Source organism: Homo sapiens, chromosome 5 (genome assembly GCF_000001405.40).
Source record: "Homo sapiens chromosome 5, GRCh38.p14 Primary Assembly".
Lineage (NCBI taxonomy): Eukaryota > Metazoa > Chordata > Mammalia > Primates > Hominidae > Homo > Homo sapiens.
Window position 1 is genome coordinate 52,107,276 of NC_000005.10, and position 27,175 is coordinate 52,134,450.

The following is a 27,175-nucleotide window of genomic DNA, read 5'->3' on the forward strand; positions in this document are numbered from 1 at the left end:
AGAGAGAGAGAGAGAGAGAGAGAGAAGAAGAAGAAGGTGCTACACGTTCTTAAACAACCAGATCTCGTGAAAACTCTGTCATGACAACAGCACCATGGGGATGGTGCTAAACTATTCATGAAAGTTCCACCCATGAGCCAGTCACCTTCCACCAGGCCCTACCGCCAACACTGGGGATTATGATTCAACTTGAGATTTGGTGGCTACACAGATCCAAACCATATCAGGTGCAGTACCCTAGTATGAGAGGGTTTATGGAATTGAAGCCCAGAAGTCATTACTGGAGCAATATCTCCAACTGACCTAACCATTTACAGTGTTTTTCTTTTCATAAGAGAGGGTTCATGAGCTTTATTCCAGTATGCCACTTGTGATAGAAATAAGAAGAATGAGTAAGAATAGACGTCAGAGAGGGGAAAGAGTTGGCTATTTTGTAAATATGTTAATTAATTTTTTTCTTGTACACCAACAGACACACCCTTACTTCACCTAACAAAAAATGCACTTTAAAAAATTGATGACTTAGAACTTGCATGAAACAGACTTATGGTAATGCCTGTGACTAAATGCAAACTTATTATGGTAATGCCTGTAACTAAATGTCATCTGCTGTCTAAAATGGAATTGAACAGAGAAGCCCATATATTTTCCCAAGGCAAACTTTCCCATATTCACAATGAACTTAAACTTGAAAAAAAAATAGCTCTTTTGTCTGAAATTGCTTTTTCCTTTGTGGTAAATCCCTTCATTAGGCCCGATGGTGAGTAATGATACATGAAATGCCGAGTACTATAACACTTTGAAAATAAGCATACTTTATTGGGGTTTAAAAGATGGAAAGGTAACAGCTTACTTTCCCGGTGTTGACAGGTACAATCAACATGAACAATAGATATTTAAGAGACCAGAGGATGGTTTTTCATATATACAACTTCTCAAAACAGTGGGAGAGTCTTTCAAGGCATACATTAATAGAATGCCTTCAGGGAAGTGTAATGACTTTGGCCAAACAGTGCCTGACTGATGCAATAAACTTTTCTTTTCAATTCTCTTTCTTTCTTTCTTTCTTTCTTTCTTTCTTTTTCTTTCTTTCTTCCTTCCTTCCTTCCTTCTTCCTTCCTTCCTCTCTCCTTCCTTCCTTCCTTCCTTCCTTCCTTCCTTCCTTCCTTCCTTCCATACATCACCAGTCAAATCAGGCAATTATCCTTGATCCCACCCACTTACCCTTTTCTTCTTCCCTCCCCTTCAACTCATTGCTAGTTCTCAGGTTCTATGAACATTTCATAATCCAGGTCAGTCAAATCTATCTCATGGAGTGATATAAATCCTACCTGTTTTTCCTGGTTTGAATTTTGCATACCATTCGTTAATTCAAGTAATAGTTATTGGGCACATATGTTATGTGCCTGTCATTGTTCTACATATAGGGAATATAGCATTAAACAGAACAGACAAAAATTCCTGCCTTTATGGAGTTTACATCCTAATGAGGGAAACACACAGTAAATGAGAAATGTAAGTAAAATAAGTATAATTTTGATGGTTAAAGTGGTAAGAAGGAAAAGGAAGCATAGAAGGATAAAGGAGAATAAGAAATTATGGGGTCTTTTTTAAAATAGAGTAGAAAGAGAAGACTACTGGGAATGTGCTACTTGAGTAAAATATTTGCAGAGGTTCAGGCATGAGCTATGAAAACACTTGGCGGAAGAAAGCTCTAGAGAGAGAGAAAAGTAGATGCAAATATCTAACAATGTGTAATCAGAGCTATCACATTATATAGACATCAAGTAACTTCTATGCTTAAATAAATTCTGAAACTTTTGCAATTCTTCCAGAATAACATACAAATACTTTCTGTGTAATATCCTAAAGTTCATTCAGGATTCGGTTCTGAGACCCCATTTCCTCTTAGACAGCATATTTCCTGCCAGCCACAAGCAGCACCCTGCTTTTCTGCAGCCCACAGTTATTTGATCATGCCAGATACATTATCACTTTGGATGCTTGCACCTAAAGTTATTTTATTTTTTTCTTTTCTACCCTACCCATTCCTGTATCTGGCTACTTTTCCTTCTTCAGGTTCAAGTTAAATACTATCTTTTCAAGGAAGACGTTTCTGAGCATCCTGGTTTTTAGGACATGCAATTGTTCACCATTGCCTTATCTCCCTGGAGAAGCCTCCTGATTCTTTCCTAGTATAATATGTCTCTCTTTCATTTTTTTTCTACTTCTTTATTCATCATTTTACTGTATATCTCCTTGCTTAACATGTAAGAAACAAAAAGAGGCCTCCTGTGTGTTGTTTTGTTTTGCTTTGCTTTGATGGTGGAATGGCCTTTCTCCCAGATCAGCCCATAGCTCATGCATTCTTATCCTTCACTTCTCAGATGTCGTTTCTTCAAAGGTGAGCCTTCCTTACAACAGCTTTCTTCAAGTACTGTTTCAGAACTTCACATGCATTAAGGAACAAGCATGTAACCTGAATGTTCATTGACCCAGTGTGGACAATAAAGAGAAATGGGACTGTCCTTATGGGAGAGAAAAAAATATATAATTATGTTTATATGTGTATATATGTATAATTGTATATCTGTATAATGTGTTTATATGTATTACATATATGTGTGTATCACAAAAAGAGTTAATACCAAGAGTATATATAGATGTCCTAAAATCATTAATGATCAAATATTCCAGTACAAGCAGGATGGCCACATTCACCTTTCCCTTTCCCTCCTGCCCTGAAGCAGGTCATAAACCTTTATTTCAGAGCAGCCTTCCCTTATCCTTATTCTTACCCACAAAGACACAGAGATGCCAAGAAGAATCTGAAAAAACAGAACTTGCTAAGTTACCCCCAATTTATTCCCATCAGATCATACAGTCTTTGTCCAATCATACTTCTGAGTGACTGCTCATTCTTCATTAAACCTAATCATAAAAAAACGCAGGTTTCCCTGTTTCTTCGGGTTTTTATTTCTGAAGTCTTCTGTGTCACATAAAATTTATATTAAATACACTTGTCATATTTTTCTCTTATTAATCTATATTTTATAGGTGCCTCAGCATGAACCTAGGGATGGGAAGGAAATATGCTTCTTTTCAACTCTACTATTTACAGGTTCCAAGGATTAGGACAGCATGTTTGAGGGCCATTATTCCGACAACCACACCAACAAAGGATCCTTCAAAGGACATAAGTAAAGCATTCAAGTCTTTCCAATATTAATATATGTCCACGTCATAACATATTTTTGATCATTGGTATAATTGTATATTACAGATGAATTCTTTTTGGTTCTTATGTATATTTAGAGAATAATGGATTTCAGCTCAAATTTTTTTAAATTTTTTATTTTTAAATTTTGTGGGTACATAGTAGGTATATATATTTCTAGGGTACATGAGATTTTTTGATGCCTGCATGCAATGCATAATAATTACACCATGGAAAATGGGGTATCCATCCCCTCAAGCATATATCCTTTGTGTTGCAAACCAATTATACTTCTTTCAAAATGTACAATTAAATTATTATTGACTATAGTCACCCTATTGTGCTGTCAAAAACTAGGCCTTATTCATTCAGTTAATGATTTTTTTGTATCCAATAACAATCCTCATCTCCCCCCATCCCCCAACCCACAGGGCTATTATAGATCTGTAGTATAATTTAAAGTCACGTAATGTGAGTCCTTCATTTTTGTTCTTTTTGCTTAAGATAGCTTTGGCTATTCTGGGTCTTTTGTGATTTCATATAAATTTTAGGATCAGATTTTCTATTTCAGTGAAGAATGTCATTGGTATTTTGATAGGGATTGCATTGGATCTTTGGTTTGCTTTGGGTAGTATAGACATTTTAATAATATTGATTCTTCCCATCCATGAACATGGTATATCTTTCTATTTTATGGTATCCTCTTCAATGTCTTTCATTGGTGTTTACAGTTTTCATTATAAAAATCTTTCACTTCTTTGGTTAAATTAATTCCTAGGTATTAATTTTGTTTGTGGCTATTTTTAATGAGAAAACTTTTTAAATTTCTTTTTCAGAATGTTGACTGTTGACTTATAGAAATGCTACTGATTTTTATACATTGATTTTTTATCCTGCAACTTTTCTGAATTTGTTTATCAGTTTTCTGGTGAAGTTTTTAGGTTTGTTTAACTATAAGATCATGTCATCTGCAAACAAGGATAACTTGATTACTTCCTTTTCAATTTGGATGCCATTAATATCTTTCACTTGTCTAATTGCTCTAGCTAAAACTTCCAGTACTATGTTGAACAACAATGGTGAAAGTGTGTATCCTTGTTGTGTTCTAGATCTTACAGGAAAAGCTTTTGTTTTTTCCCCATTCTGTATACTAGCCATAGTTCTGTCTTACACAGCTTTTATTTTGTTGAGGTATGTTCCTTCTAAACCTAGTATTTAATATTTTTATGGGTTTTATTATGGAACGATGTTGAATTTTATTAAATGCTTTTTTAGCATCAATTGAAATGATCATATGATTTCTGTCCTCCATTCTTTTGATATGATGTATTACATTGACTGGTTTGCCTATGTTGAACTATCCTTGCATCCCAGGGATAAATCCAACTTGGTCATGATGAATCATCTTTTTAATGTATTGTTGAATTGGTTTGCTAATATTTTGTTAAGGATTTTTGCATCAATATTCATTGAGGATATTGGCCTGCAGTTTCTTTCTTTTCTGTTTTTTTAATGTGTCTATCTGATTTTGGTATTATGGTAATACTGGCCTTGTAAAATGAGTTTAGAAGCATTCTCAACTCCTCTATTTTTCAGAATAGTGTGAGTAGGATTGGTGTTAACTCTTTTCAACATGTTTGGTAAAATTCAACCGTGAAACTGTCGGGTCCAGGGTTTTTCTATACGGAGAGACTTTTTATTATGGCTTTGCTCTTGTTACTTGTTATTGGTCTGTTCAGGTTTTGGGTTTCTTCCTGGTTCAATCTTGTTAGGTTGCATGTGTCTAGGAATTTGTCTATTTCTTCCAGATCTTCCAACTTATTGACATGTAGTTGCTCATAGTAGCCACTAATGATCTTTTGGATTTCTGCAGTATCAGTTGTAAGGGTTCCTTCTTCATCTAGGAGTTCATTTATTTGGATCTTCTCTCTACTTTTCTCAGTTGGTCTAGCTAAATATTTGTCAATTTTGTTTAACTTTCCAAAAAAACAACTTTTTGTTTCATTGATTTTTGTATAGTTTTCTTCATTTCAATTTTGTTTATTTCTACTCTGATCTTTATTATTTCATCTACTAATTTTGAGTTTGGTTTGCTCTTGCTTTGCTAGTTCTTTAAGATACATTATTAGGTTGTTTATTTGAAGTTTTTCTTCTTTTTTGATGTAGACACTTACAGCTGTAAACTTCCCTGCTAGTACTGCTTTTGCTGTATCCCATAGGTTTTGGTATGTTGGTTTCCTTTATAATTTGTTTCCAGAAATTTGGTGGTGTGTTTCCATTATAATTTGTTTCCAGAAAATTTTCAATTTTCTTCTTAATTTCTTAATTTCATTAGGAGCATATAGTTTAATTTCCATTTATTTCTGTAGTTTCCAAAATTCCTCTTATTATTGATTTCTAGTTTTATTCCATGTATCAGAAAAGATGCTTGACATTATTTCAGGCTTTTTAAAAAAAATGTTTTAAGGCTTGTTTTGTGACCTAACATATGGTCTGTCCTTGAGAATGATCTATGTGCTGAAGAAAAGAATGTGTATTCTGCAGCTTTTGGATGAAATATTCTGTAAATATCTATTAGACCCATTTGGTCTAGAGTGCTGACTAAGCCCAATGTTTCTTTGTTGATTTTCTGTCTGGAAGATCTGTCTACTGCTGAAAGTGGGGTGTTAAAGTATCGAGCTATTATTGTATTAAAACTATCTCTATTTAGCTCTAATAATATTTGCTTTTTATATCTGGGTACTCTAGTGTTGGGTGCATCTATATTTAAAGGTGTTATATTCTTTTGCTGAACTGACTCCTTTATTATTATATAGAGATCCTCTTTGCTACATAGTTTTTGTCTTGAAGTCTATTTTGTTTAATATAAGTATTGCTATTCCTGCTCCTTTTTGGTTGTGATTAGCTTGGAATATCTTTTTCTATCCATTATTTTTAGTCTATGTGTGTCTTTATAGATGTATAGACATGAGCCATTTCTGAAAGTAGTAGTCCCACCCATATGTGAGGTATATGTTCCAAGACCCCCGAAACTGCAGATTGTATAGAACCCAAATGCTAATCATCCAAACACATTTCTGTTCATTTCACCCACAAATTTGTTGTCTTTTTCATCTTAACTAAGTATTTATCATGCTGTGTGGCCATCACTATTGCAGCTTGAGATGCAGTAGCAAAATCGGCATAAGTTGTCTTTCTTGTTCACGATTTTGCAAATAGAAGATTCATTCTTACCATAGCTCTTCAAAACTGCAGCCTATACTTTTTTTTTCTTTACTTATTAAGTTAAAAACTTTCACCTTCTTACTTAAAGGAAGCAGTTTATGGTTTCTCTTTGGCATTGCCCAATTGCTAGAATCACTACTCTTGCACTTTGGGGCCATTAATAAGTATAATAAGGGTGCCTTGAACACAAACTGTGGAAACTGTGACAGTTGATCTGATAACCCAGATTGCTGCTAGCTAAAGTAGTGTATACAGCGTGAAAACACTGGACAAAGAGATGATTCACATCTTGGGTGGGATAAAGAGGAACATCTCAAGATTTCAAAATGCAACTCAAAATGATAGGCAATTTCAAATTTATAAATTGTTTATTTCCAGAATTTTTCATTTAATATGCCCAGGCTGCGGTTGACCACTGGGAACTAAAGCCTTGGAAATCAAAACCATAAATAAGAAGGTACTACTGTAGTCCCAAAGCCCAAGTTTCCTGTCACTTTTTGTTTAGAGATAGACTGAGAGGTCATAATTAGATTTTACGATAGTGACCTTGTAAGGTGTTGCCAGATAATGCTGACATCACCTTACTTACAAAATTACATCCTAGAGAGTACCTACCTACATAAGGGAACTGAGAAACTTAATAACAAAGTTCTTTAAATTATGTCATCAAAAATTTTCATTTTTGAACATTTAAGGACTTAAAGAATATCTGTTGCATGAAATCTTTACAATTGCTTATTTGAATGACTTAGGTATTTTCTTAATCTTCTACAGAGTTTATACAAAGAATACTTTATCAGAATTTTACTAGTACAGTTTTTGGCTACTGAGTCTCCTTCACTTCTCCTGTTCTTCTGTCCCTGAGCCCCATCCCCAAAATAAGCAAGTTGAAAGATTTATAAAATTTTACCACTGCTGTTTTATAAGGCAAATATATTCATAAAAATCTTTATAATATGATACCATTCTAGTTGTGGGTTCTGTTATTCTACAAGACAAACCTTTGTGCAGCATATTCACCCTTCTTTTACTGGGAGTTTAAGGCAGTTATGTTTTTCTCTTCTATTTTACCTGCACCAACTTGATGTCATCTGCACATCTTCTGGGAATTCCTATGTGTTTTTTATGTTGCTCAAAGCCAAAGCTGTCAAAATTGTTCCTTTCTGAGCATCTGGGGTGAAAGTTTTTATTCAATCTTATTTTCTTGTTAATCTTTTGATCTGTAGATTTTAGTCATACTTTTAAAAAGAAGCTGTACTCTCTTTGATTTTTTTCCGTTATATTTAATGGAGATTAATTATTAAAATGTCTGGTAAGAAGTATGGTCCTTCATTCATATTCAACAAATATTTATGAAATTTCTACTGTATGGAAAGTATTGGGCCAAGCAGTGGTTCAGTCTTTCTTGATGAAATATTATTATCTTGTATTTTATGTACTCAAAATTATAAATAAATATGAGCACTTTTTGGAGTTGGTAAAATGTTTATACTTTAGTGCAACTAGGGCTATAAAACAGATTTAGTCACTTTTAGTATACTAAGGATTTGAGAGAAAAAATACATTTGGTGGATTTCTAGTTGCCTGACTCACAAAATATTATCAAATTATTTGCAGTGATTGCAGCATCTAGTACACCCTTCTGTTCTAGAAAGAAAAAAGAGTTCATTTTTCTATTTCCATTAATGATTCTCAAACAGAGTGACTTCGCCTTTCAGAAGACATATGGCACAGTCTGAAGACATTTTTGATTGTCATGAATGAGGGATGGGGTGAGTATTATTTGCTTCAACTTAATAGAGGCCAGGAACACTGCTATCTCAAAATACACACAATAAAACCCCATATTTGGTTTAAAATATCAATAGTATAAGATTAGGTAACCCTGACTTACATGAACTAAATATAAATGCTCTATTATGTGTGTGCAACATATAATCAAATAACCTAATGAAGAAAAGGTTGATGTGCTGGGTTAAATTTTTCATATTGAATTAGTCCAAAGTAGGTAGATTCTTTATTTTGTATATTTAATATAAAATATGTAGTATTTATTTTTTTTTACATTTTCCTTTAATTTGTAACAGTTTCATTAAATTACAATTGCCATCAGTTAAAACCATTAAATGCAAACCTGACTAGCTTCTCGAGTATCTAAGGAGACACAGCTGGAATGAAAACAGATGGAAGGTGTAAATGAGAAGATTCGATTAACATTTTTTTTCTTCTAGTACATGTTTTACAAAGAAAATCCCCTGGGATTAAAAAGGATACCTAAATTCAAGAAATATGGTGCCTCCTGACTGTGTTTAGAGCAAAATCTTTTAACATCTTTTTACATCATTTGGAGTTCAGTCCAAATCTATATCCTTAGGGTCAAGTCACAAATATGGTAACAAAGAAATTCTAAGCTAAGAGCAACAAAATTACTGTACATTAGAACACTAACCAATTTAGTGGCAGCCTGATTATTTCAGAAGTCGTTCTCTACTCCTAACAGCATTATAATTGTCATTATAAGATTAGATTTGACACTATGATTCCCAAAGAATGAATATAATAAAAACACACCATTTGTTACAGTGCTAGCAATTATCCTGCTGTGCCTTCTTTAACATCTAAAAGGATCAATGCAATGTAGTTAATCAGATCCATTAGAAACATCCTTATTTTGAAAATTTAAGGCCTCTTTAAATACTAATTTAAAATATGCCAAAATTGAGTTTGGCCATTCATAAGGCTGAGTTTATTTTCCAAGTGTCCCTTAAGGATGAACAAAGAGCTGTAAAAAATTAGCTGACGGACAGACACCAGGTTATGTATTTATTTCTTAAATTATTTCAGTAACTTAAAATATTGTAGACGATTTCAGAGTAAAAGATGGTAGTTATATTTCCAGTGTTCATTAGGACTATTGCAGATTTCAAGAAAAAGATAGATGCCCAACTTACTGTGGGATAGATTTGGAACACATGGGACATAAAGAAATCCAGACATTTCAGCAGTAGTTGTGTTCCCCCAGCCAACCCCATATGGTCCACCACTGTCATGAGCCAGCTTTTTTTTTTGTCTCTGCTTCCATTTCTACTACAATTTGTTAGTACTATTTCCACTAATATTTCTTCCAGAAGGCTTATGTTTGTGGGCTTCTATGCATGCTATACCTTCTGTTCCAATTTAATGTGGATTTTCTACATTACTTCTAGATTATCCCTTCTCTGTGTGATTTATATTAAGAATATCCAAAAAGGTTTTGTCCACATTGGTGATTTACCAACCATACGAGAGAATCCCTGGTAGTCAGAATTTGCAAGACAGAACTCTTTGCAGACAGCTGGCACCTTTCATGTCCAGTTGTACAGTTTCTAGTTGGCTGCCTATTGTTATAAATTCCTGGTTGAGTCCTGGCCACTTTGTCTAGGGCTGCAGGTTAATAAACATGGAGCATATTAGTGACACCTGAAGAGCAACTGTAGACCTCTTCAGACATGACTTGTAATTGTAATATGTACTCAAACTTCCTGGGCTTCTTTTGAGTTTATCAAATAATCAGTAATTAGGATAATTCACACTTCTAATCAGATATTTTATCTTGAACCAATCAAATGACCCCCAAGTAAAATATAAATAGATGAGAGTAAAAGGGATATTATAAATACTTGTGACAAGTCCACAACAGGACTATAACACAATATTTCACTAAATGTCAAGAAAAAAAGATGACATGTAGCAGGAATTTTTCAGGTATAGAAAATGCAAGTGTGCAAATAGTGGTGGGGTAGATCTTGACACAAGCAAGCAAGTAAACAAAAATCCCTTTCTAATGGAAAAATAATAGCACAAGTGTTATTAGGAAAAAATATGTCATTAACATGGAAAAATGGATAATGGTAAATGAGATGTCTTAAATATGTAGAGTGTGGGCAGAATTTACCAAATATCACCATAACAGGGTTATTCTTTGATGACATAACATACATCAAGCCAATGAGAAGATAAAGTAACATTGAAACTATGCTTTTTGGACTAATAAGTTGATACAGGATGAAAATACAAATGGCTGACAAAAACATTGATAAACTTATGAAAAACAGCTATATAATAGGTTATTTATGAACTTTTAAATTTTTATAGGGCATAACCTTTTCAGGGTGGTAATAGGGTGGATAATTTCTAGCCCAATAATACTTTATTGGTTGCTGCCTTCAAATAGAATACTGTGCTGATTACTGATTAAAACAGTCTATTTAACATTATTCGTCATGGCATTTCCTCTATTTTTTAAAAAAATATATTTTATTGTGGTAAGAATGTTTAACACAAGATCTACCCTCTTAGCAATATTTTTATTTTTATTTTTATTTTTTAATTTTTGGAGATGAAGGTCACCCAGTCTGGAGTGCAGTGGCATGATCTCAGCTCACTGCAACCTCTGCCTCCTAGGCTCAAGCAATTCTCCTGCATCAGCCTCTCGATTAGCTGGGATTACAAGCAAATGCCACCACACCTGGCTAATTTTTGTATTTTAGTAGAGATGGGGTTTCACCATGTTGGCCAGGCTGGTCTTGAACTCCTGACCTCAGGTGATCTGCCCACCTCACTCTCCCAAAATGTTGAGATTACAGGCGTGAGCCACTGCAACGGGCCAGCAAATTTTTTAGTTCACAATAGTGTTGCAAATTATAGGCACAATGTTGTACAATAGTCTACAATTTATTCATCTTGTATAAATAAACTTTGTCCCTATCACTTAGCAATTTCCTATTGCTTCCTTCTCTCAGCTTCTGGTAAGCACCGTTTAACTCTCTGATTCTATGGATTTGGCTATTTTAGATTTCATATATAGGTGGAATCATGCAGTATTTGTCCTTCTGTTACTGGCTTATTTCACTTAGCATAATGTTTTCAAGGTTCATCTATGTATTGCATATTGCAATATTTCCTTCTTTTTAAAAGCTGAAAAATATTCTAATATATATATATCATATTTGCCTTATCCATTTATCCATTGACAGATAATTAAGTTGTTACTACATCTTGGCTATTATGAATAGTGCTGCAATGAACACAGGAGTGCTAATATCTCTTTGAGATCTAGATTTCTATGTTTTTTTTTTGATAAATACCAGAATTGGGATAGCTGGATTACATGGTAGTTCTATATTTAATTTTTTGAGAAGCCTCCATACTGTTTTTCATAGTAGGTGCACCATTTTGCATTCCCACTAGCAGTGTGCAAGGGTTCTAATTATACCACACTCTTGTCAGCACTTGTCTTTCTGTATTATTATTATTACTATGATGATTTCTATCCTAACACGTATACAGTGATATCTCAGTGTGGTTGTGATTTGCTTTTCCCTGATGACTAATGATGTTGAGCACTTATTCATACAACTGGTGGCCATTTGTATGTCTTTTTTTGGAGAAATTGCTATTCAAGTACTCTGCCAATTTTTCAATTTTTAAAAATTGAGTTGTAGAAGTTTCTTATATATTTTGGGTATTAACCCTTTGCTATAATCTGAATGTTTATGTTGCCCCCAAAAGTCATATGCTAGAATTCTTACCCTCAGTGTGATGGTATTAGGAAGTGGGGACTTGGGATTAGGTCATAAGGGTAGAGCCCTCATGAATGTCATTAATGCCCTAATAAAAGAGACCCAAGAGAGATTCCTCACCCCTCTTACTCCATGACGTTACAATAAAAAGACCCACCTGTAAATGCGCCCTCAACAAACGCTAAATTTGCTGGTGCCATGATCTTAGACTTCACAGCCTGAGAACTGTGAGAAGTAAGTTTCTGTTATTTATTAGTCTCCCAGTTAATGGCATTTTGTTATAGTAGCTTAGACCGACCAAGACAAACTCTAACTTTAAAAACACAAATTACCGTGCTTATTAATCTGCGATTGCCAAACTCTCCTTACCAGCCAGAAGAACACCCCCCTTTGATTTTGAAAGTAATTTGCAGTGGCTAAAAATCAAAATCTTACCATGTCTTCACATCTTTACATTTTCAATGGTGTCAACTTTGAATTGCATAATTTTCAGAAAATTGATTTATTAATCTACTGAATCCAAAAGTAGAAAATGATTTAGTTACAATTACAATATGAGTCATAATATTTTTAAAACAAATTATTTATTAGCTTTCTGTAGTTGCTGTAATACATTACCACAAACGTTCTGGAGGTCAGAAGTCTGAAATGGTGTCAGCTCATACCAAAATGCTGGCAGGGATATACTCCCTCCAGAGGCTCTAGGAAGAACTTGTTTCCTTGCCTATTCCAATTTCTACAGCTATATATGTTTTTTTATTTCTTGGCTCATGGCCCTTTCCTTTATATTCAAAGCTAGCAGCATGACATCTTCAAAATCTCTTACTGCTTCCATCCTCACATAGCCTTCTTCATCTTCTGTCTGTGTGTGAATCTCCCTCTATGTCTTTCTTAAAAAGACACTGGAGATTCCATTTAAATTCCACCAGGATAATCCAGGGTAATCTCTCTGTCTCAAGATCTTTAAGTTAAGCACATTTTATATGCTAGCAACAATGGACAACATTCCTTCCTCAGAGTTCTAAGATACAGTTCCACAGGGCTCCATTTCTGACATCCTTGAGATATGAACACCAATTTGGCCATGTGCTTTCTGGAACTCAGCTCGGCAGATCTTTTCTTCAACTAACTTCCTTCCTTTAGTTCCCTCTCTCCCTCTCTTCCTTCCTTCTCTCCTTCCTTTTTCTTTCTTCTTTCTTTTTTTTCAGACCTAGTCTGGTTATGTTGCCCAGGCTGGAGTACAGTGGTGCGATCGGCTCACTGCAGCCTCCGCCTCCCAGGGTTCAGACGATTCTCCTGCCTCAGCCTTCCAAATAGCTGGGATTACAGATGCAAACCACCACGCCCGGCTAGTGTGTGTGTGTGTGTGTGTGTGTGTGTGTATGTGTTGTAGAGACGGGGTTTCACCATATTGCCCAGGCTGATGTTGAACTCCTGGGCTCACGCAATCCACTGCCTCAGCCTCCAAAAATGCTAGGATAACAGGCATGAGCCACTGCGCACGGCCTTTTCTTCAAGTTTGTAAGTTGTGAAAACCCTAACTTCATTCCTTTGCATCTACCTCCCCAATCCTACAGGTAGTAGCCGCTTGCTTTAATTATTATCTCTGCCACCTGGAAGTTCTGGTTTTGCCTTTTTAGTATGCCGACACGTGTTTAAACCATTCCCTGTGTTATCTTCCCTAAGATAAAAAAGAAAATGTGGTATAGGTTGAGATATGAGTGACTTAAAATTCTAAGGATCTGCTTACTCACCAGACAAATGTGATTATAATATAAAGCTCTAAATTATTCATGAAACACACACACACTCATACAGAATTGTAATTACAACAAAGGGTTTTGGAATTCAACCAGATTTTTACTGAACGTTATAGTCCAAAAAAGTTATTAAACGTTTTTATGACATTTCTCTAATCACTGTGTGTGTGTGTGTGTGTTTGTGTGTGTGTGTGTGTGCTTTGTAGAGACAGGGTTTTACTATATTGCCCAGGCTGGTGTTGAACTGATCAGTAAATTGCAGTTGATAAGAATTTAATACCAAAAATTTTAAATCATCATTAATGGTGATTAAATGAAAATTTACAGATATATGTGCTATATAAGGAAAAATATACATGACCATCTCAAAATATTTTTAAAAATCAATAAAATTTATCATATGTTTACAAGGAAACTAGCAAGTAGTCTCTTCAAACTATAATTAAAATAAATATTTTTCATCTGATAAAAAGATATCTGCAAAACACCTACAACTTATCCCATTTTTAATGAAGAACTATTGGAATTTTCCCCCATAAGATTGAAAAATAAATACCATAATATTTACCATAAATATCTCTTTTGAATATACTTCTAGAGACCGCAGACCTTCTAAAAAAGCAGGAAAAGAAGGTATACATATTATAAAGGGGGGTGTAAAGTTTTTATTATTTGTAGAAGATACGACTGCGTGTTGCAGAAAATCCAAAAAAGTCTGTAATCTATTTTAATTGAGAGGTAATGTTAGCAAGGTTGCTGGGTATTATTATAGAAAGGCATACTGTCTTTCTATAATAAAAAATGTAAGCCGGCTGGCTGCAGTGGCTCACACCCGTAATCCCAGCACTTTGGGAGGCCAAGGCAGGTGGATCATGAGATCAGGAGTTCAAGACCAGCCTGGCCAACATGGTGAAACCCTGTCTCTACTAAAAATACAACAAAATTAGCTAGGCGTGATGGCGGGCGCCTGTAATCCCAGCTACTTGGGAGGCTGAGGAAGAGAATCGCTTGAACCTGGGAGGCAGAGGTTGCAGTAAGCCGAGACCATGCCACTTCACTCCAGCCTGGGTGACAGCATGAGACTCCATCTCAAAAAAATAAAAAGTAAAAAAAAAGTAAGCAAAACATTGTAAAAACTGTATAGGTTACAAGAGTTCGTAAATGTATATTAATTGTATATTACTTTTGTGGAATTTTGTGCAATATATTAACACTAAAAGCTAGGCAATATAGGTAAGAGCAATAAAAGAAAGTCTAATCAGTGGAAACATATGTCAGAGGATTGGATATTTTTAACATATTGATTCACTGCAAATTAAAGTAGGTATATGAATTAAATCCAATACCAATAAAACTGTGTGTGCATGTGAACACTGACAAACAGTTTCTGAGGTTTCTATAGAAATGCAAATGGCTAAGACTAGGCATACATTAAGAAACCTTGAAGGAGAACAAAGATGGAAGACTTACAGTACAGTAATCAAGTGTGTAATACAAGTATTCTAATTTCAAAATAGATAGTACAGAAAGAGCACCACACCTTGATGGTCATCTGAATTTTGGCAAAGAAGACAACGTATAATGAGTAAATCACTTAGATAAAAATTAATGTAAAAATGTAACTTTCAAATAAAAGAAGAGCATGTTTCATTTTTACATTAACTTTTATCTAAGTGTTGAGCTTCTGGCTTCCAGTCTGGCATGAGAAGAGCTTAGAAGTCTTCACTCTATCTTATCAAGAGGTAAAAATGTGAACAAACTAAAAGAATTATCAACTCTTCTTAGTTCATCAGGGAAGTGAGGTCATAAAGAAAATGCTGCTCTAAAAATTGGAGAAACAGAGAGAATCACAACTTTTCAGAGCAGAAACCCACAAGCAGAACCTCCATGGGAACCAATACCAGGATAGAACCCCTGAACTGTGATTGATGAATTGCTAGAGAATCGATGTGGACAAACCTGAGAGAGAAAAACTGCAAGTGTCTGGTGTAGGATTTTGATAGTGGGGAGGCTCTGTACATGTGGGAAGAGGTGGTATATGGGAAATCTCTGTGTCTTTGCTCAATTTTGTTGTGGCCCTAAAAGTACTCTAGAAAATGAAGTCTATTAAAAAATTACAAAACAAAACTCTAGCAGGACCAATCACAGGGGGCTCCCACAATTTTGTGAATTTTACTTTCAGGAATTCTCCAAGATGTTCACAGTAAATGTTGGAGTAAAAGCCTCTCTTATTTATGGCAGAAGAAGAGAAAAAGGAACCATTTTAAAATACACTCTTCTTCTTAACAAGGTCTGCCCTCAGGAGAAACTATTTTACAACAGCTTAACCTACCTGGACGGAGGAAAATATCCAACTGTAGCCAGCTCTAGCCTTCCATGTAGGGGAAGGAAAATACAAAATTTTCACCCTTCTCCAGCCATTCTGTCCCAACTAGGGTAGGGAACTGAGAACCACTGGTAAAGTTCACAGTCCAGAGACATTAGGTTCACTAAAATCCTGAGACCTAATAATATGACTACAGAATGATTCCTCTGCCTCAACACCTTATAATTACATCACTAATGGCCTATTTACCAGTTTGTTTTAATCAGTATATAGTGCCCACCTTTCAAGAAAAGAATACTAAAAGGAAAAAGTAAAGTTCAAAGATGCTAAACAAGCATCAGAACTAGCAGCAGAAATGGCAGAAATGTTGGAATTATTAGACCAGGAATATATAAAATTAAGATTATTAGGCTAAAGGCCCTAGTGGAAAAAGTAGACACCATGCAAAAACAGACGGGTAATGGAAGCAGAGAGATGAACATTCTAGGAATGAGTCAAAAATAAACACTACAGATCAAAAAGAAAGTAACAGAAATGAAGAATGCCTGTAATGAGCTTATTAGTAGACTGGACAAAGCTGAGGAAAGAAGCTCTATCCCTGAGGATGTGACAGTGTAAACCCAAAACTGAAAAGCAAAGGGAAAAAGAGACTGGGGGAAAAAAACAGAGCAGAATAATCAAGAATTGTGGAACAACTGCAAAATGTGTAACCTATGTGTAATGAGAATACCAGAAAAAAAAAAAGAAAGAGAAAAAACAGAAGCAATACCTGAAGAAATAATGATTGAAAATTTCCTCCAGATTAATGTCAGACACAAAACCACATATCCATAAAGTTCAGAGACCACTGAGAAGAATAAATGTCAAAAAATTATACCTAATGCTAGATGACGAGTTAGTGGGTACAGCACACCAGCATGGCACATGTATACATATGTAACTAACCTGCACAATGTGCACATGTACCCTAAAACTTAAAGTATAATAATAAAAAAAATTTAAAAAAAAAACAAACTAAACTTGGAATATCATGTTTAAAGTTCAGAAAATCAAATATAAAAAAATTAAAAGAAATCAGATTAAAAATGTTACTTATAAAGGATTAAAAATAAAAATTGCATCCCACATCTTCTCAGAAACAATGCAAGAAAGAAGGGTGAAATATTTAGATTGCTGAGACAAAAACACCACCAACCTATAATCGTGTACACTGTGAAATTATCCTTCGAAGTGAAGAAGAAAAATATACCTTCTCAGACAAATGAAAATAGAATCTGTCTTTAAGAAGTGTTGAATGTTCTTCAGAGATAAAGAAAATTATATGGGTCAGAAACCTAAATCTACATAAAGAAAGAGCACCAGAGAATGAATAAATGAACATAAAATAAAGAGCTTTGCTTTTCTTATTCTTAAATAATCTAACGTAAGTTTGTTAAAAATAACAATAGCAACAACGTATTCAGTGATTTATGCTTATATATATGTGTGTGTGTTTATATTTAAGTGAGATTAATGACAACTATGACACAAAGAACAAGAGGAAGGCCTTTGTAATACTTTGTTACAATAAAGTACACACTCTGCCCATGAAGTGATATATTGGCATTTAAAACTGGACATGGATTAGTTTTGTATGTATTGTAAGCTCTAGAGCAACCACTAAAAAACAAAAAAAAAAGAAGCATAATGGCTATGCTAGAAAAGGAGAGGAAATTGAGTTTTACAAAATGCTCAGTTAAAACAATAGAAGGCAAAAATTATAGAGGATAAAAATAAAAACAAAAAATAAGTACAACAAATAAAAGCAGTCACAAAGAACATGGCTATCAACACAAGTATATCAATAATCACTTAAACATAAATAATCCAAACACACCAATTAATAGATAGAGATTTTCAGAGTGGATCAAAAAACAAGACTCAACTATATGTGGTCTACAAGAAACCCACTTTTAATATAAGGGCACAGAAAAGATTAAAAGCAAATCAATAGAGAAAAATATACAATGCTAACACTTAATCAAAATAAAGTGAGTGTAGCTGAATTAATTTCAGTTGGAATAGATTTCAGAGCAAGGAAAGTTATCAGGGATAAGGAACGGCATTACATAATAATAAAAAGTCAATACTCCAAGAGGACATATTTTAATGTGTATGAACCCCAAAACAGAGTGTCAAAAATGCTAAGCAAAAACTGACAAACCTGTCAGGAGAAATACATGAATCTATTTTCATAGTGGGAGATTTCAATACCTCTTTATTAGAAATGAGCGGATCCAGCAGGCAGAAAATCAGTAAGGGCATAGTTGGATTCCATAGCACCATCAATCAATTGTATATAATCAAGATCTACACACTACTTCATCCAACAATAGCAGAATACTAATTTTTTCTCAAGATCACGTGGAACATTCACATAGACCACATTCTGGGTCTTAAACACACCTTAACAAATTTAAAAGAGTGTTGTATAATGTCTGCTTTCAGACCACAGTGAAATTAAACTAGAATTCAATAGCTGAAAAATACCAAAATACTTGGACTCTAAACAACACACTTCTAAATACCTGATAAGTCAAATAAGACATTTCAATAAAAATTTAAAAATATTTTGAATTAAATGACAATAAAACCCAGCTCATTAAAATTTGTTGGATGAAAGCACGTTAGTTTTATATCTAAGCATTTGTTAGGATACTAATGTAAGTGCTATTTGTTTTTAATTTTAAATTCTACGTTTTTAATGCTGTGTACAGGAAAGTGATTAACTTTTGTATATTATTCTTGTAATCACTTAGTTCCAGGAGTTTATTCATCAATTCTTTCAGATTTTCTACATAGACAATCATGTCATTGTGAAAGCAATGCTTAGAGAGTGATTTGCAGCATTGAATGCATGTAATAAAAAAGAAGAAAGAGCTAAAAATCAATCATCTAAACTTCTACCTTAGGACACTAAACTTCTGCCTTAGGAAAAAGAAGAATAATTTAAATCCAAAGTAAGCAGAATAAAAGAAGTGATAAAAATTAGAGCAGAAATCAATAAAATTGAATATAGAAAATGGATAGAGAAAATCAATAAAATAAAATGTTGGTTTTTTGAAAAGATCAATAAAAGCAATAAGCTTCTAATTAGACTGAGAAAAAAAGAGAGAGGATATCAATTACTAGTATCAGAAATAAAATAAGAGATATCAGTTTAGATCCCATGGACATTAAAATAATAATAAAGGGGCTGGGTGTCGTGGCTTATGCCTGTAATCCCAGCACTTTTAGAGGCTGAGGTAGTAGGATCACTTGGGTTCAGGAGCTTGAGACCAGCCTGGGCAACATAGTGACGCCCTGTCTCTATAAAAAATAAAAAGTTAACCAGACATGGTTGCAGACCCCTGTAGTCCCAGCAACTTGGGAGGTTGAGTTGGGAGGATCACCCAGAAGGTCAAGGTTGCAGTGATCATGTCCCTGCACTAAAAAAGGGCAACAAAGCAAGACCCCATCTAATAAAATAATAATAATAAAGGAATATTATGATCAACTCTATGCCACAAAATTTGTTAACATAGATGGAATAAATTAATTTATTGAAAGACACAATATGCCAAAACTCACAAAAGAAGAAATAGATTATCTAAATAGGCCTATATCTACTTAAAAACTAAATCAATAATTAATAATATTTCAAAGCACAAAGTACCAGAACCAGAATTCTCATAAATTGCACCAAACATTTAAGAAAAAAAATGTTGCCAATTCTCTACAATCTCTTCTATAATATAGATTCAGAGGGAAGACTTTCTGCTTCATTCTATGAGACTAACATTACACTAAAACCAAATGAGACAAAGACATTACAAGCAAAAAAAAAAAAAAAAGATACAGATCAATATTGGTACAGACAGGAAAAAATCTTCAACTAAATATTAGCAAGTAAATTCAATAATGTGTAAAAAGAATTATACACCTTGGCCAAATGAGATTCATCTCAGACATGCAAGAATATTTCAACATTCAAAAGTGACTTAATGCAATGGGTTACATCAACAGGCTGAAGGAGAAACAGCATGTTATTATATCAATAAATACAGAAAATCATTTGATAAAATCCAACACCACATTATGACAGAAACTAGCAGTAAACTAAAAATAAAGGAGTAACTCCATTAACTTAATAAAGAATGTCTACAAAAAATCTACAGCTATCATCATAATTAACAGTAAGAAACCTGAAGCTTTTCCACTGAGATAAAAAATAAAGAAAGGATGTTCCCCTTTACCACTGCTTTTCAATATCCTACTGGAAATTCTAGCTAATGAAATAACATAAGAAAAGGAAATAGAAAGTCTACATACCTAGAAGAAAGAAACAAAACTCCCTTCTTTGCAGATGACATGACTGTCTATGTAGAAAATCTAAAAGAATTGATGAAAAAACTCCTGAAACTAATAAATGATTACAGCAAGTTTGAAGGATACAAGAATAATATACAAAAGTTAATCATTTTCCTATATACAACATTGAAAACTTAGAATTTAAAATGAAAAACCAATACCGTTTACATTAGTATCCCAACAAATGCTTAGATGTAAATCTAACAAAATATGTGGAAGATCTATTTAAGGAGAATTATAAAAGTCTCATGAAAAAAATCAAGAACTAAGTAAATGAAAAGGATTCCATATTCATGGATAGGAAGATATGATATTGCCAAGATACCAGTTCTACCCAACTTGATCTATAGATTCAATCCAATCACAATCAGAATCCCAGCAAGTTATTTTGTGGAGATATTGTACAACTGACTCGAAAATTTATATGGAGGGGCAAATCTCCAAAATAGCTAACATGACATTGAAAGAGAAGAACAAAGTTGGAGGACTGATACCACCTGACTTCAAAAGTTATGATAAAGCTAGAATAATAAAGATAGTGTAGTACTAGTGAAAGAATAGATCAATTTTTCAATGGAATAGAATACACAGTCAAGAAAAAGACAAACATAAATATACTCATCTGACCTTTGAGAAAGAAGGAAATAAAATACAAGGAAGAAAATATTGTTTTTGAAACAATGGTACAGAGACAGCTGGATATTCATGCTAAAAATGAATTTAGACATTTTCCAAAATGGCAAAAATCCAAAATACTGACAGCAACAAATGCTGTCAAGGATGTGGAGCAACAGGAATTCACGTTCATTGCTGGTGGGAATGAAAAATGGTAGAGCCACTTTGGAAGACAGTTTAGGAGTTTCTTACAAAATTCGACATACTCTTACCATATGACCCAGCAATCATGCTCTCTGATATTTATCCAAATGACTTGAAAACTTATATTCACTATACAAACTTGCATAGAGATCTTTATAGCAGTTTTATTCATAACTGTCAGATCTTGGAATCAACCAAGATGTCCTTCAGTATGGGAGTGGATAAATAAACCGGCACAACCAGAAAATAAAATAGTATTCAGTGTTAAAATAATATATGAGCTATCAAGCCATGTAAAGATATGAGAAAATCTAAATACATATATACTAGGTTAAAAAAAGCCTGTTTGAAAGGCTACATGCTCTATTATTTACACTATTTGATATTCTGGAAAAGACAGAAATATGGATACAGTAAAAAGTATTAATTGTTTCCAAGGGTTTGCAGGGAAGAAGGTATGAATAGGCAGAACAGGATTTTTAGGCAATACAGCTATTCCATACAAGCAGAAACATGTCATTACATCTTTGTCAAAACCCATAGAATGTACAACACCATAAATGAACCCTAATGTAAACTGGATTCTGGGTGATAATGATTTATCAATGTACATTTATCCACTGTAACAAATGTACATCTTTGGTGTGAGATCTTGATAGTGGGGGAGGTTGTTTGTGTGTGAGGATAGTGGGTATGTGGGACTCCATGTTTTCCATTCTATTTTGCTGTGAACCTAAAACTTATCTGAAACAAAGTTTATTACGTTAAAACTATAAACTTTGACGCCATCTCACCACTCACATTATTGAAGAAAGATCATAAATTTAATTCAGAAAGGTAAAAGAAAAAAATGTCTAGAAGAAAACAAAGGGAAATATTTTCACAACCTTGGAATAGAAAAATATTTCTTACAGGAGACAAAACAACCAACTATATAACTAAAAAAAAATACATTTGACTTTGTTAATATTTAGGATAGTTTTTCTCCATTAAAAAAGATTTTTTAAAAAGGCTGTAAAGGTAAGCCACTGATTGAGAGGACATATGTGCAATACATATATGCAAAATGCATTCATATCCAGTGTAAAGAACGCTTAAAAACAAAAAGAACAGAACAGAACGTTCAAAACTCAAATGGGCACAAGCTTGATCAGACACTTCACTAACAAGGATATCCAGATGGACAATAAACATATTTGACTCTAAACATCACAAGTCTTCAGTCTTCATTTCTAATCGAAATGTAAAATCAACTCTCTTTTGATATTACCACATTCACACTAGAATGACTGAAATTAAAGAGAATATCAACATCAAGTTTTGACGATACTGCGAAACAACTAAAACTCCCATAAATTGCTTCTGGGAGTGTAAATTGGAGAAATATTTTTATATGGATCTCAGTATTTAGATAGGTGTATACATCTGTAAAAACTCATTGACTTCTACGCTTGAGATTTGTTCTCTCACTCTATGATGGTTATATTTTATTGCAATAAATAGTAAAAACTAAGAAATAAAAATGGCAAACATTTCCAGCTCACTTTGCTGTGTTGGTATTACTCTAAACACTGGGCATTTATTAACTCATTCAGTATTCACAACACTTATTTGCTACAGTTCATTTGCTTATGTTCTTCCCTGTTTTTTGTTTTGTTTTGTTTTGGTTTTGGTTTTTTTTGCCTTTTTGAGGCACAGAGAAGATACATAACTTGCCCAAGGCCACAAGTTTAAGTAGTGAACCTGGAGCTCAACTCTAGGCAAGATTGTCCGATTCTGGAATCTTAAGCACTATCCTATGACCTATTTTAGAGTAAGTCTTTGGGATATTTGTATATACATGCACACACACACACACACACACACACATATATACATGTATGCATATATATACACGCATGCATATATAAATACACACACACATATATATATATACACACACACAGTTAGGTTTTATGAATGTGACTCATGAGTGAAACATTTATATAAGTCCTTGGGATATATATATATATATATATATATGTATATATATATGCACACACAAATATATATACACATACACACATACATATATATATATAAACTGTTAGGTTTTGTGAATGTGACTGATGGTTTGTACTCACAAAGCACCTTTATTTATGTCTCCCATTAATTTTATACAGTGGGGTCTCATTACTTACCTAGTCACTCTTAAGTAACAAGAAATATTAACTTACTTTAAGTTGCATCATAGACACGCCTAGATAAAAGCAAAAGTCAGATTTGATTTAAAATGACACTTCCTCCTTCTATGTATCCAGGCCTGGCTATCTTGCAGGCTGGCTATCTCTTGTTGTGGGAGGGAACCATTCCTTCTATCACCCCCTTCTATTCTCACTTCAGTTAGATTGATTTGAAGGCCCGTACAGACAGAGCATGGAAGGAGGACAGTTCATACTTGATTGATAATGCCACGACAATTTAGAAATCTTGCTTTCTGGGCTTGACCAAAGTTTACAACTGGATCTTCCAGAGTGCGTTTCTTGCACAATGGTGTACTCTCTGGTATGACTGAGGCATGAAATATAGCCTAGAGGCCAGGTGGAAACTTTGGTGGAGCCTAGGTAAGAGTACAAATGAGGTTACATAGCATATTTCTAAATATTTAAAAGTTATGAATCAAACTAACAAATTGTTAAATAAAATGCAGTCCATCATCCCAACTTGTTAAACTGAGGAAACAACCAAAAAAATGTAGAATTTTTATATGATTCAGCAAAATATTAAAGAGGTTTTGAGTTAATTATTCTTGTCCATGTGTGTGAAAGGCTTTTGGTTTTATTGGCAATGTTTAGAAATGAAATTGAAATACAGACACATAGTTAATAAATTATTAACTTTATTTTATTTCATAAAACATATATTTTATTTCATAAAACATTTACTTAATTTTGGCGATTTTTCAGTGTTAATTTTGCTATGATGTTTTATGGAGATTTTGACATATTTTACATCTGATTCAAGTAATGGTCTAAAGCAGGGGTCCGCAAATATTTTCTGTAAAGAGGTCGGATAATATGTATTTTATGCTTTGAGAAACATGCAGTGTATTACAACTACTCAGCCTTGCTGTTGTTGCACAAAAGCAGCCGTCAACAACAAGTAAACAAAGAGAGAAGTTGTGTTTCAATAAAACTTTATTTACAAAAACAGGCAGTGGACCATAGCTTGCTAATCCTTTAGCTAAAGGATTAGAAATTTGAAACATAATTATATTTAAAATAAATTCTGCATTGTTATTAAGAGTGTAATTTAGTAAATGTAAATAACTTTTTAAACATCTTCTTTTACATTACAGAGGTCTTTAATTTTTTTACGCCTATTATAAACATTTTTCATATATGTTCTAGTATTTGATATCTATCTAGTAACCATTGTAAAGGATCAGAATTACATTTCCTGTTAGTCCTAAGCACATACAAATTTAAGAATCATATAACTTGTTTTACATTGCAAAATTCCTCAGACATTATATCTGATCTTTGCCAAAACCATACTAATTTGTAGGTACCTCTTGAACAATGAATCAGAATACAAAAAAAACCAAGAAAATGGAAATGTTATTTCATTATGCAATTTCCTTTGAATTTATGTTCTCTGAACAGAATGATTTGACAGGTTAATTAACTTGTCTTTTCTCCTATCCAGGCTCTTCGCCATTCAAATCCTCCCTACACAGTGAAGCATTATCCATCTCTGGTACTGGCAAGGGCAAAACTCAGACTTTTGTTGATGGCATCTGGATGCAATCGTCTTTGAGTACATCAGGTAAGAGTTGTGGTGAAGCATTGCCCTGGAGTCTGCACCTCATTGGTCAGGAGAGTAGACGTCTCTGGTTAATGTTGTCCTGTGCCAGTGCTGAATGTTGGATCCTGAGTCATAGAGAAGAAAACAGTAACTTAGCGGCAAATGGAGAATTTACTGCTGTCTCCAAATGCCAATTATTTTTTTCCCTGAACCAGTATTTGCCAAATCCTAAACCTGCATTTTTGAAAAGGGAGTTTAACGTACGTGAAATCTAGCTTATATATGTATATTCCTAGAATTGCTTCATTGACCACTGCTGTGTAACAGGTCTCTGGGTGATGGTTGGAATTGTGTGTGCAAGTATCTGTCTTTTTACAAAAATCTCCCCAGACAATTCTACTATGAAGCCAAGTTTGGGAACCACTGATCTGGAACATTTAAGAAAAAGAGTCAATAAAGCTTTTTAAAACTTTGATATTACTCTGCCTTACACCAGATTATGTCTCTGGGGACATTTTTATTATGTTAGTTGCATTAGTATATTTGACACTCAAGGCTTCTCAGCCAGACTCTTTCTCTGCAGAGGCAATAATACTGAGAAAGTGATTCTGAGAGTGGCTTAATAAGTTACACTGACCGGTAGCCAAAGCTTCCAAAGCTTTTAAAAAGAGCTAAAATATACTGTTGTGAGACCAGGCAACTTGAACAGCTACTGTTAACTCCTGGAAACTATTGTTTCTGTCCTTGGGTTCTTGTGCATAGTATGGATTCTTAAAGCTACTGGGATCTACTTATCATGGAAACTGTTCTTGATGTCTCATCAACGAATAAGCATTAGTTTTATGTGTTACCCTTTTATTTACCCTTACCATTTCTCTTATTTGGCTTTGTAGCTGTCTTCTGAATTCTATGCCCTCACTTGTGTATACACTTCTGAAGAATACTTTGCCTAACTGGTCACTGCATCCGTATTACACAGCACAGGGCTTACTCCATAATAGATACCCAATAAAAAGTTAAACCAGTACATATTTAATAAATACTTACGCTCTCAATGGAACCAGGTTTACTCAGTGCCATTGACTTCTACTGTTGAGAATGCCACCCCATAGAAGAGCAGAAACAAAAAAGTATTTGCTCTCCACCTCTGGCAGTTAATACTCAAAGAGGGCTGTCATTTGGGAAAACAGATTGAGTGTTGTATTGGGGAAAATCTCTGCTGTTCTAAGAAGGGCCGTCTCTACTGTCTGAACAAAGAGTAGCGATCAAGGGCATTTTTACATGAAGTTTCTTCCTCCCTTACCTCTTAAACCCCATAAGGAAAATTGGTAGGTTGCCATGGGAAATTCAACCCAAGTCTGGAAAACATGGGTTTATAAATTCATTTTTATTTTCCTGTAATACATGTAAATCTCATGCTTACAGAGTTAAACAACCTTGAAAAATATACCAGCCTCTTTCAAAATGTGGGCTATAAGTCATGTGATTTTTTGTGTGTATATGTCATAGGTTTTGGTGGTGATGGAGGGAGGCTAGGGCAGGAAAAAGAAGCTTCTTGTGAAGGATTATGCTGTTGGACCTCTCAGCTGCAAATATACTTAAAATTCTGAACTTGAATTACATTAGATTGTTATTGAAAATTGTTTCAGAACATTGGCTTTTTTGTACTTGTTTTATTCTGTCATTAAATTCAGATTTAAAAGCCTCCCTAGTTTCTTTCTCAAGGCCCCCTCTTCACCCTCTTCACCTCTACCCACTCCACCACTTTCCCTTTCTCCTGTGTTTTACCTGCCATCTGGAACCACTTCCCTGCCTCTCTGGACTTAATTGGCTCTTTTCAAATCATATCTCTAACCCCCATCTCTCCATCAGCCTTATGACTCCTAACCTTAAAGAAACAATCAACCTCTTTTTCCTGAGCCTTGCTGTTTCCCTCTGCTAAAGTTCTTCTTGTCCTATCTAGCCTCTTCTACGCTTCTCCATTGAAGTGGCTATTGGTAATCTGTATGCCGTTACTTGTTCCTTTTTTAAGGTTATTTGAGGAAGCAACTGCATGTGTGCAAAGCCACACAGAAGCGTATTTAATTGTGTT

At 34.2% G+C, this 27,175-nt stretch overlaps 1 long non-coding RNA gene across 2 annotated transcripts in view; it reads left to right on the top strand.

The window, feature by feature from the left end:
* Positions 1 to 202: 202 nt before the first annotated feature.
* LOC105378961 (uncharacterized) overlaps positions 203 to 27,175 on the top strand; it is a 30,013-nt gene continuing 3,040 nt past the window's right edge. The window contains exons 1-3 of one of the 2 annotated variants that reach the window (XR_948318.2): positions 203 to 227; positions 8,143 to 8,214; positions 24,985 to 25,104. This is a non-coding gene — a long non-coding RNA (uncharacterized LOC105378961). Of the gene's footprint in view, positions 228 to 3,072; positions 3,201 to 8,142; positions 8,215 to 24,984; positions 25,105 to 27,175 lie in introns of those variants that run through there. The other variant, XR_948317.2, reaches the window with a different exon arrangement.